At 43.3% G+C, this 14,216-nt stretch overlaps 1 protein-coding gene and 2 long non-coding RNA genes across 13 annotated transcripts in view; 2 read left to right on the top strand and 1 right to left on the bottom strand.

Annotated features, from left to right (window-relative positions):
- IQCH (IQ motif containing H) overlaps positions 1-14,216 on the bottom strand; it is a 247,019-nt gene that overhangs the window by 3,767 nt on the left and 229,036 nt on the right. For 8 of the 10 annotated variants that reach the window (NR_147832.2, NM_001031715.3, NM_001322475.2 and 5 more), the window contains 2 exons: positions 7,974-8,035; positions 3,672-3,780 (listed from right to left, as the gene is read on the bottom strand). Coding sequence is in view for 9 of the 10 variants with exons in the window: in NM_001031715.3 (NP_001026885.2) it covers positions 3,672-3,780; positions 7,974-8,035 (171 nt within the window). In the remaining variant the exon portion in view is untranslated. The remainder of the gene's footprint in view (positions 1-3,671; positions 3,781-7,973; positions 8,036-14,216) is intronic. The other 2 variants (NM_001284348.2, NM_001322473.2) reach the window with 1 other exon arrangement.
- IQCH-AS1 (IQCH antisense RNA 1) overlaps positions 1-14,216 on the top strand; it is a 118,234-nt gene that overhangs the window by 23,807 nt on the left and 80,211 nt on the right. The window lies entirely within an intron of this gene.
- LOC124903511 (uncharacterized) lies at positions 2,611-3,993 on the top strand. Its single transcript, XR_007064686.1, has 2 exons — positions 2,611-3,145; positions 3,393-3,993. It is a non-coding gene; the product is annotated as an uncharacterized LOC124903511 (long non-coding RNA).

Below are 14,216 nucleotides of genomic sequence, written 5' to 3'. Positions count from 1 at the left end.
GTCTCCTATGTTTCCACATGAATTTTAGGATCATCTTGTCAATTTCTGCAAAAAAGCCAGCTGGGATTCTGATAAGAATTACATTGAATCTATAGATCAATTTGGGAATGTCAGCATCTTAGCCTTATTGTCTTCTATTGGATGAATACAGACTGTCTTTCTGTTTATTTAGGTCTTCTTTAATTTCTTTCACCCATGTCTTATAGTTTTCACTGCAAAAATCTTGCACTTCTGTTAAATTTATTCCTGGCCAGGCGCGGTGGTTCACGGCTGTAATCCCAGCACTTTGGGAGGCCGAGGCGGGCGGATCACGAGGTCAGGAGTTCGAGGTCAGCCTGACCAACATGAAACTCCATCTGTACTAAAAATATAAAAAATTAGCCAGGCATGGTGGTGCGTGCTTGTAATCCCAGCTACTCAGGAGGCTGAGGCAGCCGAATTGCTTGAACCCAGAAGGCAGAGGTTGCAGTGAGCCGAGATTGCATCAATGCACTCCAACCTGGGCGACAGAGTGAGACTCTGTCTCAAAAAAGAAAAAAAAATTATTCTTAAGTGTTTTATTCTTTTTGATGCTATTGTAACTTGAATTTTTTGAAAACTTATTTTTGCATTATTCATTACACAAATATAATTGTCTTTTGTATACTGATTTTATGTCTTATAAACTTGTTGATGGGTTCTTTAGGATTTTCTTTTCTTTCTTTCTTTTTTTTTGAGACTAGGTCTTACTCTGTCACCCAGGCTGGAGTGCAGATCATGGCTCACTGCAGCCTCAACCTACCTGACTCAGGCCATCCGCCCATCTCAGCCTCCTGAGTAGCTGGAACCACAGGTGTGTGCCACCACACCTGGCTAATTTTTTAATTTTTAGATAGGGTCTGCCTATGTTGCCTAGGCTGGTTTCAAACTCCTGGGTTCAAGCAGTCCTCTTGCTTCATAGGATTTTCTATTTACAAGAATTTGCCACTTGCAAACAGAGATACTTTTACTTTTTTTTTTTTTTTTTTTTTTTTGAGACGGAGTCTCGCTCTGTCGCCCAGGCCGGACTGCGGACTGCAGTGGCGCAATCTCGGCTCACTGCAAGCTCCGCTTCCCGGGTTCACGCCATTCTCCTGCCTCAGCCTCCCGAGTAGCTGGGACTACAGGCGCCCGCCACCGTGCCCGGCTAATTTTTTGTATTTTTAGTAGAGACGGGGTTTCACCTTGTTAGCCAGGATGGTCTCGATCTCCTGACCTCATGATCCACCAGCCTCGGCCTCCCAAAGTGCTGGGATTACAGGCGTGAGCCACCGTGCCCGGCCGATACTTTTACTTTTATTTCTTCTTCTTTTCTCCTTCTCCTTCTTCTTCTTCTTAGTAGAGATGAGGTCTTGCTATGTTGCCCAGGCTGGTCTCAAACTCCTGAGTGCAAGTAATCCTCCCACCTTGGCCTCCCAAAGTGCTGGGATTACAGGTGGGGGCCACTGCACCCAGCGCCTTTTATTTCCTTTTCTTGCCTAATTTCTCTGTCCAGAACTCCAGTACAATGATGAATAGAGGTGGCAAGAGCAGACACCCTTGTCTTGTTCCTAATCTTGGCGAGAAGGCTTTTGGTCTTGCAATGTTAACTATGATGTCAGCTGTGGGTTTTTTGGTAGATGTCCTTATAAGGTTGAGGAAGTTACCTTCTATTTTTACTTTGTTGAATGTTTTTATCAGAAAAGAATGTTACATTTTGTTAAATGCATTTTCTGCATTATCTTCCTTTTTTTTATTCTTACTCCCATCACCCAGACTCACTGCAGCCTCAACCTCCCAGGCTCAAATGATTCTCCCACCTCAGCCCCCCAAGTAGCTGGGACTACAGGCATGAGCCACCACACCTGGCTAATTTTTGTAATTTTTGTAGAGATGGGGTTTCACCATGTTGCCCAGGCTGGTCTTGAACTCCTGGGATCAAGCAATCTGCCCACCTCAGCTTTTCAAAGTGCTGGAATTACAGGCATGAGCCATTGTGCCCAGCCTCAATCACCTTCCATTTTTATTTAGCCTTTACTTTGCTGGTAAATCCTTGTTTAAAAACTGAAAATACCTACCACAATGCCACTAAGTAGGAGACAGAAAATACTAGCAAAGATGAATCTATTCCACTGCTTCAAGTTTTTGTTATTGTACCTATATTACTGAGATTGAAAGTTTTTGCCTTTAGACCTAACATGAGTAAAAATCAAGAAAACAAACATTCATATCAGAAGGCTAGAAACCATGACATAATTAAAAGCTACCTAAGAATATCTGACTTTTTATGATTTTGAAAGTCAGAGAAAGGGCAGAGAAATAGCTTTCATTTTGTCAAAGGTGGTTGACTCTGCCCACAGCGAGACAAGCCCAGAATCAACTTAGTCTGAATGCATTTGAGGTTAAAGCATCTGATTCTGATTATTAGCTATATTTGGACAGGCTGAATGGATGAAATGCAGAGAGGCTCAAAGTTTTGCACATGGCACTAACAGATAAGATGATGCTACTAGCTAGCAGGAACTTAAAATGTAAATGATAGGCTGGGCAAGGTGGCTCATGCCTGTAATCCCAGCACTTTGAGAGGCCAAGACAAGATCCCTTGAGCTCAGGAGCTTGAGACCAGCCTAGGCAAGACAGTGAGATATCCTGTCTCTTTAAAACAAAACAAAACAAAAACCAGTAAATAATGAGCATAGATCCTTTAGGACCAGTGAACACTGATGTAACATTTGGTCTGTCTTTTCTTGAATCTTCTCAATCATGTTGTAGGGAAAGCAGTGGTCATTCTTCCAGCTCATAAAATCACATTGTTATTGTTACTGTTACTAAAGGAGTTAGGCCCTAGCTTGAATCAAAAATGTAATTAAAATTACATTTCTATTAAGCTTTTGTTGGACTTTCCATTTAGGAGAAAAACTACATGTGGTTTCTGATTGTGTCCTTTGAATTAATGAAGGCCTAGGCTGGGAATCAGATTCATACCTTGCTGTTCAATACCACGTGATCATCTCTGTTCAGACAGTATTTCAGAAACTCCCGTACAGACCTTGTTCCTGTAGTTTACAGTTTGGAGACTTCTAGTCAATTATACACAACTGGATTTGATAGACCAACATCTTTAAAGGTCATAAGAAGGCTTCTAAAGGTTAGTAGTGAAATAATCCAACCCACGGTGGAGAAACGGGTGGGGTAGATGGCCCACATACATGCTATATTTTCTGCTTCTCCCTAACACACATTGCTTTCTCGGGTCTTAGAACTTCTCTGGCTCTAGAAACTAGGGCTTCCCAGGAATCACTAGTCAGACCTTGTATTATCTGGAATATAGATAGATAACATTCGCAATTTTTGGTTGTGACGATCTCTGTTTTGGTTCCATTGTGACATTTCAGACTCACGTCCAACATCAGAAAGATCTGCTATCTTAGGAGCTGGAGTTTGAAAATGGCAGCAAGTTAAAAGTCAACTCTATTTCAAAGAAAAAGTTTCAAACTATTAAATTTAACTAACAGCCTCAGTGGGAACCTTACAGTATTGACCCTGCACACTGTAAAATATGTACTGCTTACAATAAAAAAAAGATGGTTTAGCACTTGTTTACAATACAGCATGAGGTATTTTCAGCCCTTGTATAGAAATTAACCAGAATCGTTAGTTAATTAACACCTCACCTTAAAATTGGTCTCGCCTTGCATATTAGGTGCTGATATTTCTTGATGGATGATGAAGAGATGGCGAGCAAAGGTCATGAGGACCCCCTGGAGATCCTCGCCGATTGTTCTGTTAATGATATCCAAACAAATGAGTTTACCAACGATTCCCTTCACATGCTTAAAAACAATCGCCCTCTCATTTGTGCCTGTCTGGTGATGGAATTTAATGAGTATTTTCAATCTCACAAGGTGGCAATCTTCAGGGAGATATGAAAGATGAGACTCCATTTTAACTTGTCAACAAAAAGGATTTGCGTAATAAATATTTTTTATTAATCAACTTAGCAGAATATACCAATAGGGTAGGTCATTTCTAGCGAAAGTCTACCACTGAGCTAGGATGTTGTACGAGTTCATTTTAAAAATGGTTTAAGCCCATCATTCTCAGCAAACTATCGCAAGGACAGAAAACCAAACACCGCATGTTCTCACTCATAGGTGGGAACTGAACAGTGAGAACACTTGGACACAGGGTAGGGAACATCACACACCGGGGCCTGTCGTGGGGTGAGGGGAGGGGAGAGGAATAGCATTAGGAGATATACCTAATGTAAATGACGAGTTAATGGGTGCAGGACACTAACATGGCACATGGATACATATGTAACAAACCTGCACGTTGTGCACATGTACCCTATAACTTAAAGTATAATAATTAAAAAAAATGGTTTAAGTTACTTTAGGAGAACTGTCGCTAAGTGTGATCCTTGCCGAATGATTTCCTTGTCTATGGAGACATTTGCATCTCAGTATTCTGGAGTCTTTTGTCTAGGGTTTATTTTCTATTTCACAGGTACAAGTGATTCCTATCACTTAATGAGAGTGTCCTGCCTATGTTCAGAGGAGAATGTGCCCTGTTCATGAACAGCCGTCTTTATAAACCTGAACATCCACTTTAAGATTTCGGAGATAGCTTGCAAACTATCCTGTAGCATTATAGGGCTCCCTATATAAGGTGGTCACTCAGTGTAGGCTTTGTGGTATAGTGAAAGGAACACCAAGTTCAGGATCAGGAGACAGACCACCTACTGTGTGACCCAGGCAAATCATTGCCCCTCTCTAAGCCTCAGTTTCCCATCTATGAGGATCAGTTAATTCTGAGGCCCTTCCCTGTTCTAACATTCTGTGGTTCTATGACTGCAGTTAGGGATGAGATTAAGATGGGCAGAAAACAGTAGAAAAGGACTAAAGGCTTTCGAGAGGTCCATGTCAACTGTGCCCTCCCTGAAGGATGTGTGAATAGCAATAACCATCTAGAAGGTACACCAATAGGACTATTTCTGCCATTGAAACTAGCCTGCAGGTCAAGGCATCCTTGCCTGAAATCTCAGGTACAGGTGTAGGGACAGCTGGGCAAGTTCCTCTTGGTTACCAGTCTAATTATTAATTCTGTAGGCTTCAGCATCAGATCCACCTTGCTGCTAGGTCAGTTTGATGACTGGGAGTTTCTCTGTTCATGAAACAGGCTCTTCCTCTATCTCCTACTTTCTGTGATGGTTTTCCTCTTGCCTGGTTCCTCTATGCCCGAGTACCCACCTGCACTGCTCTTCCTGTGGCCCACACTTCAGGAACCCTGCCTCTGCCTGGGTGATACTACCCCTGTCTCATCCCATCAATTCCAGGACACACGTCCTGCTCCTGAGTGTCAGCCTCTGCTGGGCTCTGCTGCCTGCTGAAAGGCTTTCCTCATGCCACCCCCTACCAGCCTGGGTCTCCAAAAGTGGCCTCCTCTCTGAGTGCCTCTGGTCAAGCTCCCCACGACCTAGCTCTCAGGTTGTCCCTTTACTCTTTGCGGTTGGAACTTTTCCTGATGGTATGAGCTGGTTGCTTCTCAGGATGACCTCCACGCATCTGAATCCTGGGTCCAGTGTTTGGCCTGTCTGATTGCTCTTCTCCCATCACCCGAAGGGAGCTCACCTCTCCCAGCCTCATCCTATGTACAAAAGGGTTTGTCTGGTTCCAGTCGTGTCCCAGCTTCTCCTTTGTAGTTAATCTTTCATGCCAGCTGGTGCCCAGTAAGACACAGTTCATATCTCTAGGTTCTGATTTCTAGTTCTTTGTACCTAACTAACCCATCTGTCTGAATTCCTGGGCTTAGAAATATACTTGGACCTTGAATGTTGCCTGCTTAACTCGATTCATAAGTTGGGAAAATACAAATTTCTTATTCCCATGCATGCCAACTTCAAATCCAGATGACTGCTTGGTTCTCCTAGTCCCGGTAATTCCCGGTGGCCTATGTTCTGCCCAGCCCTGACATCACCGTGTCAAGTTTGGGGAGAGTGAAATGGGAAGTATTTAATCTCTGATCTTCTGGCTACTAGTGAACTGCTGCTCCCCTTTCATGGCTTGTCAGCAGTTGACATACTAGACCACGTTTACCTGTTTACTTGTTTACTGTATGCCCACCCCTCTAGAGTGGCAGCTTCCTGAGGGCAGGGCTCATTGTTGTTTCCCCAGCACCTAGAACTGTGCCTGGCACAGTTGATAAAATGCTTTCAAATTTTCTGGTAAGGAAGGGTGGGGCAGGGAGGGAGCTGAGGGGCAGAATGTTACTGGGAAGCAAGGGGCTGATCCTTCCCTGCACATGCCCAGAGGTGTCCCTGGCTCTGTTATCATTCTGGATGTGAAGGCCTAGGTGGAGAAGATGAAGGCAAGCTTGTTGGGATGTTATGGATTGAGGTCTCATTTCTGTTGCTATCAGGGCAGTGTGACAAATGGGTGAAGAGTCCCTAGGGAAGTGACTTTCTTAACAAGACCCAATAAGTTTTGCATGTTTATGGGATCTTGGGGGAAGACTGAAACTGGAGGGGAGGACTCAAAACAGCCAGCTTCCCTTCCCAGGTGATGGGAAGCATCTGAGACTGTAAGTGCCAGATTAAATTGTAGCCACATTCTAGTTGCAAGGGAGAAGAAACCAGAACATTTGCCTAAGTTCAAAAGGATCGATGAGGGTGAATATCACTGTATTGATAATGGTCTAACTGATAATGCTTTGGTAGAACAAAGGACTATGCTTTGGATAGGGAAGTTGAGGCCTGTCCTATGCAGCCATTTGCTTGTAGTGTGCACCTCTTTGGATCAGTTTCCGGGAGACTGACCATAGTAGGGTGTAGGGGAGGTTGGGGAGGGAGGGACTGAGGCCACATAGGAACATCAGTGCTTCGTAGAGGAATTGGCTCTTATTTGGTTAGTTTTTATGAGACCAGATCTTTGTGTATATGTTTCTGTGTGTTTCAGTGTGAGGCCACAATGTCTACACTGCTGTAGAGGTTACAAGGAAGAGAAATAGAGGGCAGAGACAGTTTCCCAATTAGGTAGGATGACTTAAAGGTACCAAGTAACCATGTGCCAAGATATGAAATAAGAGATGACTCAAGGTTGTAGCTCTAAAATTCTGAGTCCTAGATAGGAGGCTTTGCTAGGCTCCAAAATATCCCAGAGGGAAATCTGGGAGAAGTGCGGAAGCCTCCGAGTGTTGCCAGCAGCCTGTGCTCAGTGCATGCGTACCTTGAGAAGACTGCGCCCGGGTTGAAACTGGATCTGAGGAGGAGCTACAGATCCTGCCTGTTAGGGGGACATCGTGTGAAGTCACCAGAGCACAGAGCACTTTTCTAAGTATGCCAGAATGACAACTGCCTTCCACAGGCAGGACAACTGAGCTGGGTCCCCATCAGTGAGATCTGATGTGCCTTATCTGTGTATGCATTTGGGTATAATATGTTGTTAAATCTAAATCTTACCCATTAATTTTAGGTAATTAATCAATTATATTTATAAACCCCCATTGACACATCTAAAGTCATTTTATAAAATACCTAGGCTGGGCGCAGTGGCTCAGGCCTGTAATCCCAGCACTTTGAGAGGCCCAGGTGGGTGCATCACGAGGTCAAGAGATCGAGACCATCCTGGCCAACATGATGAAACCCCGTCTCTACTAAAAATACAAAAATTAGCTGGGCATGGTGGCACGCACCTGTAATCCCAGCTACTTGGGAGGCTGAGGCAGGAGAATCGCTTGAACCCGGGAGGTGGAGGTTGCAGTGAGCTGAGATCGCGCCACTGCACTCCAGCCTGGGTGACAGAGTGAGGCTCCGTCTCAAAAAAATAGAATAAAATAAAATACCTGAAGATCTAAATAAAGATAGACTTCTAATAAATCAGCATGCTGATTAAAATGCATGAGAAGCATCATTCTTGTTAGTTGTGATTGTCTATTTCCTTAGCTTATTGCAACTCACAGATACACTTCATACTCACAACATTCCCAACTTGTGTCTCTTCAGGTGCTCATATAATATAAAAACAGTTCCTTGCCTTTCCTGTAAAATTTGAATGGGGAGAAAAGAAATAGTATATTATCTCAGAAACAAAGTACAGAAAATGTTACTGGCACAGAAAGACTACTAAGATTGATTTGATTTGAAATCTAGAGCTACCTTCAGATATTATGAGAACACATTTGGAAAGGCTGCCTCTAGAATTTGGAGTAAATATGTTCTAGAACTGTGCTTTTTGAGTATGATCCTCAACACCTGCATCAGAATCATCTAGTGTGCTTGTTAAAAAGGCATTTTCATGGGCATCATGCAAGCTCAGAAGACTTGGCAGGCACTCTGTCTTTTACCTTACTTCTTGGATGATTCTTGTGTACATCAAAATATGAAAACCACTGTTCTAAGAGTGATGGGTTAAAAAAATATAGGGGAGGCTGGGCACGGTGACTCACGCCTGTAATTCCAGCACTTTGGGAGACTGAGGCGGGAGAATCGCTTGAACCCGGAAGGCGGAGGTTGCAGTGAGCCCAGGAGGCCAGCCTGGCCAACATGGTGAAATGTTGTATGGTGAAAAGTAGCATGGTGGTCCAGCTACTTCAGAGGCTGAGGCAGGAGAATCGCTTGAACCTGGGAGGCAGAGGTTTCAGTGAGCCGAGGTCACGCCATTGCACTCCAGCCTGGGCAACAAGAGCAAAATTCCATCTCAAAAAAAATTGGCCGGGCGCGGTGGCTCACACCTGTAATCCCAGCACTTCAGGAGGCCGAGGCAGGCGGATCACGAGGTCAGGAGATCGAGACCATCCTGGCTAACACAGTGAAACCCCATCTCTACTAAAAATACAAAAAATTAGCCGGGTGTGGTGGCGGGCGCCTGTAGTCCCAGCTACTGGGGAGGCTGAGGCAGGAAAATGGCGTGAACCTGGGAGGCGGAGCTTGCAGTGAGCCGAGATCACGCCACTGCATTCCAGCCTGGGCAACAGAGCGAGACTCCGTCTAAAAAAAAAAAAAAAATTATATATGTATATATGGTAGCAATTTGTTATGTGGAAAATAATTTGTACTTCAGTGGGAAACTGTGTTGTCTATAGCAGGGGTCTTGAATCCCTGGGCTGTGGACTGGTACCAGATCTGTCTCAGACAGGTCTGTGGCCTGTTAGGAACCGGGCCACACAGCAGGAGGTAAGCAGCAGGCAAGCAAGCATTACCACCAGAGCTCCGTCTCCTGTCAGATCAGCGGTGGCATTAGATTCTCCTAGGAGCGGGAAACCTATTGTTAACTGTACAAACAAGGGATCTAGGTTGCATGCTCCTTATGAGAATCTAACTGATGCCTGATGATCTGAGGTGGAACAGTTTCATTCTGAAACCATACTCCCTCTACCCACCTCCACGTCCATGGAAAAATTGTCTTCCATGAAACCAGTCCCTGGTGCCAAAAAGGTTGGGGATTGCTGGTCTATAGCACTCCCTGCTGCCTTATCAGATTGATTCTATGGGAGATATTTTACAATTTTGTAAAGTATAGGTAACTGATAGACAAGCAAATTCTGTCTAGTCTGATAAAGGCTCAGTTGATTTCCCTTTCCTGTTCCCCTTGTGGAAAAACCTATTTTGCCTCCATGTGCAAATTTCAATATTCCTGATCTATAAAGATGTCTGTTTTGGGATTCTCTTTTGAACCCGTTATAATATCTGCCTAGTTCCCTCTTTTTGTTTGTTTTGTGTTTTGGAGACAGGGTCTCACTCTGTCACCCAGGTTGGAGTTCAGTGGCTCAATCACAGCTCACTGCAGCCTCGATGTCCCCAAGTTCAGGTGATCCTCCCACCTCAGCTTCCTGAGTAGTTGGGACCACAGGCATGTGCCACCACACCCAGCTAAGTTTTGTATATGTTTTTTGGTAGAGATAGGGTTTTGCCTTGTTGCTTAGGCTGGTCTCGAACTGCTGGGCTCAAGTGATCCTCCCAGCCTCAGCCTCCCAAAGTGCTGGGATTACAGGCATGAGCCACTGTGCCTGGCAGTTCTGTTAAATAAAATCTTTATCATGTGTTTATTTTTACATCTGTAGGAGAGGCATGGCTTTACCTTTTTTTTTTCCTTTGAAAATTATCTTGTAACCGTTTTCTCCAAATAAATAAGAGGTAACCCTGGAGTTGTCCAACAGTGGAAATGCCTGCCCTGTGAAGTTGTGAACTTCCCATCACTGGAAGCTCAAAAAAGGAAACTATATTTTGGGGCTTTGGTAAAAGAAATCACATGCCAGAATTAGGACCACTCATCAACTTCCCACTTTATCAAGAAATCTGAGCTTTAGTACAGACAGTGGCTAAACAGTGGCTGCCAACGCTGGCTGCACATTAGAGTCGTCTAATACCTGGGCTCTACTTCCAGAAATGCTGATTTACTTGGTCTCGGGTGGGCCATGGGCGTAGGGCCATGCTGAGTCATATTGGAGCCCAAGGCAAAGGAAAAAATCAGTAATCTGGTCCTGTTTTCATTAAAAATTTTGATATTTTATTCCTAATGAATTTTTTGCAGTAATTTTGATTGTTAAAATATTGCACTAAAATATTACTTATATTAATGAGGGTTGTGTGTGTGTGTGTGTGTGTGTGTGTGTTTTCCTTAAGTTTTGTGCTCAGGAAGAGTGCCTCACTTGCCTTACCCTAATCGCAGCCCTGCATGGGCATCTACATTCTTTTTTTGTTGTTGTTTTTGAGACAGAGTCTCACTCGGTCACCCAGGCTGGAGTGCAGTGGCACGATCTTGGCTCACTGCAACCTCTACCTCCTGGGTTCAAGCAATTCTCCTTTCTCAGCCTCCCAAGTAGCTGGGACTACAGGCGCATGGCACCACGTCTGGCTAATTTTTGTATTTTTAGTAGAGATGAGGTTTCACCATGTTGGTCAGGCTAGTCTCAAACTCCTGACCTCAGGTGATCCACCCGCCTTGGCCTCCCAAAGTGCTGGGATTACAGGCGTGAGCCACTGTGCCTGGCCATCATCTGCATTCTTTAAAGCTCCTCACTGAGGTCACTCTCATGGGCATCTAGGGTTGAGAACCACTGCCTAGTACATCTCTTGCATCCCTTACTGTGCTGTCCAATATGGTAGCCAATAGCCACATGGGGCAACTGAGAAGTTGAAATGCTAGTGGTACAAATTGAGATGTGTCATAGCTTTCAAAGACTTAGTACAAAAAAAGTAGGACTATCTCAATAATTTTCATACTGATTACATGCTGAAATGACAATATTTTCAATATACTGGATTAAATAAAATATATTTTAAAAATTAACCTCACCTATTTCTTTTACTTTTAAAAAACGTTGCTCCAAGAAAATTTTGAATTATCTCTGTGGTTTACATTAGTGGTTTTCATTATATTTCTATTGGACAGTGCTATTCTAGGGACCTATGGTTAACACAAATATAACAAATCCTTTCTAGTAAGTGGTTCCCATTTCATAATTTTATATCCCCCTTTTAAAAATAGTTCCATATTGAGAAGGAGCATTAGTAATGATCGGGCATCAACTCCCCATATGCAGAACAAGTTCACAGAGGTTTCATATCCAGGGATATGTGGGATATTTATTGGATTTTTTTTTTCCTGCTAGGAATAGAATGCTTGGTTGGCAGAGACTTTCCTTTCAATACTTTAAAATTATGTTCCCATTGTCTTCTAGCTTTCATAGATTATGTTGAAAAGTGGCCAGGATAGGTGGCTCACGCCTGTAATCCCAGCACTTTGGGAGGCCGAGGCGGGCGGATCATGAGGTCAGGAGTTTGAGACCAGCCTGGCCAGCATGGTGAAATGCTGTCTCTATTAAAAATACAAAAAGAAAAAAAATTAGCCAGGCATGGTGGCACGCACCTGTAGTCCCAGCTACTCAGGAGGCTGAGGTAGGAGAATTGCTTGAACTTGGCAGATGGAGGTTGCAGTGAGCCGAGATCACGCCAGCCCGGGAGATAGTGCAAGACTCTATCTCAAAAAAAAAAAAAAAAAAAAGAAAACTTAGCTAGCAGTCTTATTGCTCATTTGAAGGTAAAGTAATTTTTTTTCTAGCTACTTTTAAGATTTTCTGTTTCTTGGTCGGGCGCAGTGGCTCATGCCTGTAATCCCAGCACTTTGGGAGGCTGAGGCGGGCCGATCATGAGGTAAAGAGATCGAGACCATCCTGACCAACACGGTGAAACCCCAATTCTACCAAAAATACAAAAACTAGCTGGGCATGGTGGCGCGTGCCTGTAGTCCCAGCTACTCAGGAAGCTGAGGCAGGAGAACTGCTTGAACCCGGAAGGCGGAGGTTGCAGTGAGCCAAGATCACGCCACTGAACTCCAGCCTGGTGACAGAGTGAGACTCCATCTCAAAAATAAAAATAAAAAAAAAGATTTTCTATTGCTCTTCAATTTTCAGGAGCAAAATCATGATGTTCCCAGGTGTGATTTTCCTTATATTTATCTTGCCTGAGGTTTTTAGTGCTTTTGAATGAGGTTGGATATGTGTTTGTGATGTCTTTCACTAGTTGTAGGAAATTCTCAGCCAGTATTTATTTAAAATCACTCCCTCTTCTCCTTGTGGGACACTAATTGCAGGAAAGTTAGATTGTTTCCTCCATGTTGCATGTATCTCTGAAGACTTTTTCTACATTTTCATCATTTTCTCCCTCTGTGTGTAAGTTGGAATTTTTTTCTACTGGCTTGTTTTCTAGTTCGCTAGTCATTTGTTCTGATAACCTATTAAATTCATATATTAAATTATTTATTTTGTCACACTAATTTTTGGTTCCAGAATTTCCATTTGGGTTAAAAAACTGATTCTAGGTCTTTGGTGACATGAACATATTACAAACATATATGTTTTCTTGAACATATTAGTCCTAGCTATTTTAAAGTCCCTGTCTTTAAACTCTATTCCTGCTGGAAATAGAATGCTTGGTAGGCAGAGACTTTTCTTTCAATACTTTAAAATTATGTTCCCATTGTCTTCTAGCTTTCATAGATTATGTTGAAGAGTGGCTGGGATCGGTGGAGTTATGAGTCCCTGTCTCATAACTCCAATATATGAATCACCTGTGGATCTTTTTCTTTTTTTCCCCTTTGTTTTCAATGATTTGGTCCTTCTTTTAGTATACCTTTTTTTAATTGGATGATGGTCATTAAAGATGGAAAATTGTAGCAGCTCTAGATAATATCTTCCTTCAAAGAGGGTTAAATTTTTGTTTTTGGCAGACCAGTAGAGTACTGACAGCTCATCTTGATATATCAAGGGTTGATTTTATTTTATTTTATTAATTTTTTTTTTTGAGATGGAGTCTCACTCTGTCACCCAGGCTGGAGTGCAATGGCATGATCTCGGCTCACTGCAACCTCCGCCTGCTGAGTTCAAGCAATTCTCCTACCTCAGCCTCCCAAGTAGCTGGGACTACAGGTGCGCACCACCATCCCTAGCTATTTTTTTTTTTTTTTTTTGTATTTTTAGTAGAGACAGGGTTTCACCATGCTAACCAGGCTGGTCTCAAACTCCTGACCTTGTGATTCACCTGCCTTGGCCTCCCAAAGTGCTGGGATTACAGGGATGAGCCACAGCGCCCAGCCCCTGATTTTATTTTATTTTTGTATTTAAAAGTTTTTTTTTTTTGAGACTGGGTCTCACTCTGTTGCCCAGGCTGGGATGCAGTGGCATGATCACAGCTCACTGTAGCCTCGACTTCCCAGGCCTAAGAGATTCTCCCACCTCAGCCTTCCAAGTAGTCAAGACTACAGGTGTGTGCCACCGTGCCCTGCTAATTTTTGTATTTTTTGTGGAGACAGGGTTTTGCCATGTTGCCCGGGCTGGTCTCGAACTCCTGGGCTCAAGTAATCTACCTACCTCAGCCTCCCAATCCCATGCCTGGGATTACAGGCATAAACCACTATGCCTGGACTAAGAGTTGATTTTAGCTGTTGCTGGACCTGGTCTATTTAAAGGTTTTCCTTCATGCTTTGTGTTTAGTTTTTTCTCCTAGGGAAGTGTCCTTACTCCTAGAGTTTGGTCCTTTTGAAGTCTCCACTGGAAGCTTGAGGTGTTTATTAGTACCCTTTCAATTTAGCAGGACATGAACTCCTAAGATTATGTGACTTTTGAAATATCTGCCAGATCTTTAGCCTCCCAGCTACTGTTATATTTTTCCTCTGGATTTCTTGGAGTCTTAAGCTGTTCATTCCACCAGGTATGAGTCAATT

Source organism: Homo sapiens, chromosome 15 (assembly GCF_000001405.40).
Source record: "Homo sapiens chromosome 15, GRCh38.p14 Primary Assembly".
In the NCBI taxonomy this organism is placed as follows: Eukaryota; Metazoa; Chordata; class Mammalia; order Primates; family Hominidae; genus Homo; species Homo sapiens.
Note: the sequence above shows the minus strand (reverse complement) of the source record. Positions and strands in the feature narration are given on the sequence as shown.